Genomic DNA, 7,926 nt, shown 5'->3' on the forward strand with positions numbered 1-7,926 from the left:
GGGAGTTTCCTATTTGAAAGCAGTCAAGTCTATGTTATCATTATACTGAAAGTTTCTGAATGATTTTGAAAAAGATCAAAGTCCTTTGTTAATTGCTAAATATAAGATATTTAATCATTTCATTGTGATTTATTGGGTGAAAATATAACGTGACAGCCTTCTACAAAATTAATGTAATGGTAATAAGTGAATAAAGTAGCAAAATATAATAAGATTTTCAAATGTTAAATCAACATAGATTGTGGAGAAGTTTGTTAAATTCAGTAACTTACTTCTTTCTCTTTCTTGAGAATGTGAAATTTGTTCAGTTGACCCTGAGAAGAAAAATTGTGCTAATACAGACCTCTTGGTTGGCTCAAATACATCAAAACAGAAAGAGGATGCTATTTTGCTCTTCACAAAATCAAGAACTATTTTGTCAAACAACAAGAAGTTATTTGACTAGTTCTTTCCCTCCTACTGTCAGTAGTCAGGTAACAGTCAGCTGGGAATGTTTTACACGTCCTCTTCTTTCTTGTATTTTTAGTTTTGATATTTGAATCTATATAACTGAAAGCACACTCACCACAGTGTGCTAAATCCCAAGTGGATTTCCACGTTTCTTCACCAAAAACTTTATGAAAGCTAAGACTAATGTCTTTAAAATGGATTTTTGAATCACCTAGTCTTATATTTTGACAGGGCTATAGTTATATTATGACTTCAGTGGGCAATGGTTATCTCTCAGTATTTCTCCATTGTATTGATCTTGAAGCAGTGAGGACACAAGGAAAGAGTCATTCATAAATAAACTTGCTGTACATTTCCTATAGCCTTGCCTCCCTGGTTTGGAGACTCTAAGGTCTTCAGTCTTCACCTCCATGCTCCTTATGGTGATAATAAAAATATTTATCTCAGAGGGTGGCTTCAAGGATTAAATAAGATAAAGTATAGGAAACACTTAGATTAATAACTGAAACTTATTAAATACCCAGTAAATGTAAGGTATTACTACTAATAATATTTTAAATAATGTCTTTTGTATTATACCGTTATTACAATTTACTACATACTTTCACATCTATTATTCCAAGCACTTCATGTTGAAGAAAAAAGTTGTTTTCTCCTGGGATTATTTAATTGGTTCAGATTCAAATGTAGAAAAATGAGGTAAATACTATAAAGTATTAATTAATGAAAATCTAAAAATCCTAGCATTCTAATTTTATTGGCATTCTCTGCTCTCAACTTGTAGAAGAAAGAAAAAATATGAGAAAATATGCTTATATCAAGTACTTATTTTTTAAAAAGTTCGTTTTAGAGAAAGGTAGGAATGAGATATTTTTTCAATGCTGCTCTGTTTCACATCATCATTCAAAACACTAGTCAACGCAAATCATTGATTACAACCAATATTGGAAAATTAACCCATTAAATCACTTATTTACCCATCACTCTTAAATGCCTACTATGTGCCCCCACACTTGAGGGTCCTAAAATCAGAGACACATACAATTACATTTATTTTATTCAACTTATTTTAAGTTAGTTAGAAATAAGTAGTAGTGCATTTTTAGGGGTTTCAACAACAAAGGCTTATCTAAGAGTATTTTAAAGATGAATTTATTTAATGGAAAATAAAATTAAGAATTATCCCATTCTATAAAAATTCTAATTGAGGTTTTATTATAAATAGAATACAGAATAGCTTTTCCATTAAGTGCAAATAGTTTAGATTTTTCTAGAACAATTTTATGTAAATGAAGTTTTTTTTTTTAGTACTGTAGACTCATTTAATGAGGCCATAGTTACTTGGAATAACAGCAGAGCACTTAACAAACAAACATTGAGATGGGGGAACAGTAATCTCCATAAATTTGTGACAGTGAAGTTTTTACAGACTGCTTTGCATTAATTTTTAAAATAGCCATACTGATATTTATAAATTTGAATGCATCATACCTTTCAATGCAATCACCTTGAAAAACACTAACTTAATTTCAATGATATGGATATCACTCCAAATAATATTTTAAAATCTTTCAAAAAATTGGGCATTGTGCATTTTTAAAAAATCTCATTGGCAGCAAATTTTTACTCTTTGAGCCTGAAGTAATCTCCAACTAGCACTTTAAACTAGTAAATAACTAATATATATGCTGTCATCCTTGAGGAATGATTCAAAGTTCTTTACATAAATATATGGAGTAATATAAATATTCACCTCTTTTCTCCTGTATTCTAAGATAGTTTTACATTTAATATTTAATTCTCTGTGATTTATTTTGATGTATGATGCATGACAAGGCTACATCCTGTTCTCCCTAAATTGTTATTTTCTCCTGCCAGAGAGTTTATTGAATGAGTTATCCTTTTCCTTATTGGTTAAAAATATTATCTAAAATACTTTGGGAAGAAACTGCCCAGTTCGTGACGGTCACATTACTCTGAAAACTGCCGGCACCCCCAACTCCCAAGCCATAGAGGGGGATCACTGTGCCCTGATAGCCTGGACTGATCATATTTCTCCTAGGGATTTGGAACAGGGACTGAGAGTTAGGTGGTCCTTGTGCCTGGAACTGAGAACATCTAAATGGAAACTGAGGTTACTACATGCATGGAGGGTCAGATCTGCAAAGGGAAAAGAAGAAAGCAGATGTGCACAGAAAGACAGTGATAAGAAGCTCAGAGCATAGAGACAGAGTGAGAATGACTCAGAAAATTCTTGACACTTCCTGATTCCAGCCACTGTGAAGTCTCTGTTTTTGGATGCAGGAGAGTGGCCTTACGGTAAAATTTCACTTTCTTATTCATGTTAACTAGAATTAAGTTTCCTTTGTTTGAATTTAAGAAGCACGTTGACTAAGTGTACTGGGTTGAATTGTGTTCTCCCCAAATTTATGTTCACCTGGAACCTGTGAATATGATCATTTTTGAAAATAGAGTCTTTGCAGATATAATCAAGTTGAAAAGAAGTCATACTGCATTACAGTGGGCCCTAACCCAATGACTAGTGTCCTTATAAGAAGAGGGAAATTTGGGCACAGACACAGGGAGAATGCCATCCGCTATGGAGGCAGACATTGGAATGACACATTTACAAGCCAGTGATCCCCAAGGATTGCTGATAACTACCAGAAGCTAGGAAGAGGCAAAGATGTATCCTTCCCTAGAGCTTCCAGAGAAAAAATGGCCCTAATGATACCTTGATTTTTAATTTCTGACCTCCAGAACTGTGAAACAACAAATTTTTGTTGTTTTAGCCACCCAGTTTATATTAGTTTATTTGTGGAAACCAATATACTAATAAAGTATTTTTAAAACACGCTAGACTCTAGTTTTTAGTTTTGTTTAATTGGTATGTCTGTATATTCCTACAAGAACATTACATTGCTTTGTTTTTGCTTTTTAGTATATTAATATATGGATTGGCAGTTCTTTTATTATTTCTCTTCAATATTTTCTTGACTATTATTATTCTACAATGACACTGGGCTCTCTTGACAAAGTCCAGGAGACTTAAAAAATATTTTGTTTAATGAGTTTTTGTTTAGCTTTTTACTGTTAATTTATCAAACTATTTCATTTTGATCAGAAAGAATGATGCCTACAATTCCTACTTTGGGGAATTTATTAAGGTTTATTTCTGGCCTGGTATTTTGATAATATTGGCATGTTTTTGTGCATGTGAGAGGAGGGTTTATCTTCTCTTGAAAAACAAAAAGTAAAATCATTGCTGTTAAGCACATGATTTATTTAAATCCTACTTTGTACCCTTATTTCTTATTTCCTCAGTCTATCGAAAACAGTGAGGTGGGTACATATTTCCCAATATGACTAAAATTTTGTTAAATAATCTTTACATTTTGGTTTATGTATTTAGATGTCATGTTATTGAGTGCATTATATTTACAGCATTCATTTTAGAGTGTACTTTTCATCACTATAAGATATTTAGCTTTCCATTATTGAAGTGTCCTTGACTTGAATTCTACTTTATTTTCTATTAGTATCATCAGCCTCTTTTTCTTTAGAATTTGTGTAACTTTCCCCAATATTTTATATAGCTTTTTCTATTTTTTATTGTTTTTAATCACCAAATAAATGCAACCTTCAAAAATTTCAAACAACTTGCAAGTATGTAGGGAAAAATCTGAAGATTCTCACTGTATCAATCACCCACTGCAACTTCTATTCCAATGTTAATCACTTCTACCCAAATAATTAATATCAACAATCTTGTGGGTTTCTTTTCATATAACTTTTTATTTATTTGTCACTATATGTTTATTTACTACTTTATCCAGATACTTGTAAAATAAAAATAAAGTTAATAAATGATTTATATATAAAATACAGATTTGCAAGTGTGTATTATAAATAATAAACACATATATATGAGCTCTTACATACGTTTAGTCATACTGCTCCCACTTACATATGTGTGAAGGAACTAAAGGCAGGCCAAGGAAAAAGGACTCTGCCCACCAAAAACCACCCTGAAAGCTATATAAAATATAGAAATCATCTCTTAGAATACAGAGGAGACACTCTCAGACATTTAGACTAGAGGACCTAAGTTTTCAGAGTGGGGAACCCCCTAGGAGATGAGCCCACCTCTGTGGCTTTTATTCTTTGGACATTTGTTAATTCTGGGCATTAGGCAGGAGCTGAAACTGTGAACTTTTCACCTACAAGGAGAAACTACTGGAAAACAGAGAACAAGCAAAGTTTTTGCATAGACTTGCTGGGAATCTCAAGCATATCACCAGTTTGTATGTGTGGACTTGTGGTGGGCAGGGGAGGGTTTTCAAGTACATGGCTAATTTTTCTTTCAGGATACTTGCTAAATGTGGAATGAGCATTTCCAGGGTTCCATCTCAACCTTGACTCAGCACCATCCCTGATTGGGTTAAAGTGACTTGACATCACTGTATTGATCTAGCAGGAGACTGAATATTTTCTGAAGGAAGATATCGCCTGAAATTACTAAATATTTTTAATATAGAATATGCAACATTCAAAATAATCCAAACACATGCCAGAAAGCAAGGACACATGATTAAAACCAAGAAAAAACATAAACAATAGAAACAGATCCATAGATAATGCAGTTATTAGAGTCAGCTAAAAAAAAGTTTAAATTACCATAATTAATACATTCAAGAAAATAGAGGGAATGATAAAGGAAAACAGATAAAAAGATGGTAAGTTTTATCAGAGAATTAGTAATTCAAATGAAGATTTCAAATGAATATTCCAGAAATTTAAAAATGAATGGTACTAAATAATTTTTCTGAAATTGTTTTTCCATTCATTAATTTCTTACAGACATACTTTACTGGTAATAAATATAGTTCAGCACTTCTTTCCATCTAGCTTTTGTCAACAAGATCACTCCATGGAAGTATATACAAGTATCACTTGCTCCTTTTTATGGCTGCATATCATATGGATATACTATATGTGATTTATCCAGTCCCTTATTGAGGGATATTTGAGTTGTTTATGATTTTTTTGTTATTGTAAATAGTGATGCAATTAGTAGCTGTGTGATGTGAAAAGGTATACTATTTTCAACAGTATACCTTTAGGTTAGATCCCACAGTGTGAAACTCTTAAGTCAAAGGATGAATAATGTCTCATTATTTTGTGGTCACATTTTTTTTGTATACCCAGAAAAAAACTATTATCTATATTATCTGCTATTAAACTAAGTTAACACCTATTATTAAGATCAGTGAATTTCCTACTGATTCTTATTTGATACCACTCAACCAGAAATCTGGTGAGAAATAAAGAGTGGTAAGATTTTGCTGTTTTTCCAGGTACTTTCCAAATGCCATATGAAGTTCCCAGTGATTCTTTTATTCTATAAATATTTATTGAATCTTATGTGGCATAGGATAGATTCATTTTCAACTAGCTGTTTAGATGTTTGATATGGTTCTCTCAACCTGATTCTCCATGATACAGCTTAGAAAACAGAGAGAATTTTAAAATACATCTTCAGAAAATGCACATTTATAAAAGTTAAATTAAATAAAGTAAAATGGCAAGGTCTGGGCAAAATCTGATATTTTAGCAAGAAGAAGTTCCATATCTTGAAAGAAAACTATTCCTTCAGATAGCAAAATACAATCACTTTTCATGGACATATTTCAGGAAATAATATCTTTAGTTGGAGATGGTTCAGAAATTAGGACAGTTCTTTATGAACAGTTTTCAATCAACTCAGAAAAGACAGGCAGAAAGATGTAGGAGTCAAAAAGCAGGCTTTGGAACTCCAAAGACAAAGTTTGAACTCTGCATTCATCATTTTCTACTGTGCCCTTGGATAAGCCTCTAAGCCTCTCAATTTCCTTACCTGTACAACAAGAGTGAAGCTATATTCACTCCAGAGCTGTAGAGCAGTGGCTGAAGCCTGGTTCTTGAGGCTCCAGTATTTCTCACCAATGGCAACAAATGTTAAAAACCACAAATGTTCGAAACAACAAATGTTGCCATTGGTGAGAAATGCTGGAGCCTCAAGAATCATGCTTTTTCCCTCCCTGCCAAGTCAACAATCACACACCCACTAACCACTGCATTCTTAGAACTTCAGCAAGTGCATTGCCACTGTGATACTTGAATTTCATATTTTATGAATAAGACTTTTCCAATACTTAGTCCCTTGCTGTATCAGGTAATTGGTAGAGCTTTAACAGCGTTTCTTTCCTCTGCAGGTGAACCAGTGTCTATTTGTATCAATGGAGATTTTATTCATAAGCACCTCATCCTGTATCAGTAGGTCTTATAATAACTATGCATGCATGCCCAGCTATATGAAGAGGCTGTGACCTGAATGTATGACATATCTTCAAACTAATGTAGGGCATCATTGTGAGTTACCAGTCACTTGAAGGTCCAGTTACATAACATCTCTTTTAACCTCCTATGTGAATAAAACATTCTTGGCATATTAAATAAGTCATTTGTCGAGAAGGCAAAAAGGGAGCTCCTCATTGAATGGATGAAGTGACATGGTTATATTCTTCCTATTATTTTATGGTCTTGGGATTATAAGAAAAGCTTTTTTTTTTTTTTTTTTTTTTTTTTTAACTGACCAAAACGCATTGTTTTACAGGGACAGGAAGCCTTAAATGCTGGTGAAACTTTATTGTTTATTCTTCCCCAGGGGACCTTGCTCTCTCATTCAGTAATTTAGGAAGCACAATCAGTTTCTTTTTGAAGTTGGCAGAAAAATAGATTGATGCTCATTAGCCAAGATTCTCAGTCCCAAGGTTAACTGAATAGCTCTCATCCCCATGGAAAGTTTGCTTGACAATTTGAAGGACAGAGCCTACCTGGGTTCTATGGCCAAGGTTTTCTCCAAACTTTTCTGGCTTCAGCTCAGATTTCAATTCCATCTGTAGCAGAAAGTAGTCATAATTGTCTACACAGTGTTCTCTTCTCATGGGGCACACAATTAGGCTACATTACTCAGGTTTCTTGTGGTTAAGTATGGCCATGTGACTGAGTTCTAGGTCATAGAGTGTGAGTAGAAGTGATAGATACCACTTCCAAGTTTGGACCAAAAACCTCCTGTGAGAGCCTCTATTCCTTCTCTTTCTCTGTCTCATGCTGAAAATCCAGAAGGTGACTTTTCGGCCTCTAGGGGATGTTGGAGGCCCAAAATGGAAGAAACCCATGTCTTTAAATGACCACATTGAATTGTCACATGAGTTGTAAATCATCTTCTCTCGTGTGAAGCCATTGAGCTTTGGGGGATGTTCCAGCTAGTAGCCTATGATGCACAAGAACTTCCCTCTACTCAATCCAGACTTCAAATGGAAGTAATTTGCATTCTATGATTTGACTGCAGCCATCACTATTCAGTTTTATTCCCCCACTCTCTTCAGTGATTACATTCATGTTTCCCAAAATGTGCTCCATGGAACCCTAATA

General features: G+C 33.7%; 1 annotated feature.

Moving 5' to 3' along the window:
* Window positions 7,257–7,457: a silencer, noted in NCBI's record as "peak953 fragment used in MPRA reporter construct". NCBI's record gives its function as "represses an SCP1 promoter by STARR-seq MPRAs in K562 erythroleukemia cells {active_cell/tissue: K562}" and the evidence as "EXISTENCE:reporter gene assay evidence [ECO:0000049][PMID:32103011]".

This window comes from Homo sapiens, chromosome 10 (assembly GCF_000001405.40).
Source record: "Homo sapiens chromosome 10, GRCh38.p14 Primary Assembly".
NCBI lineage: Eukaryota > Metazoa > Chordata > Mammalia > Primates > Hominidae > Homo > Homo sapiens.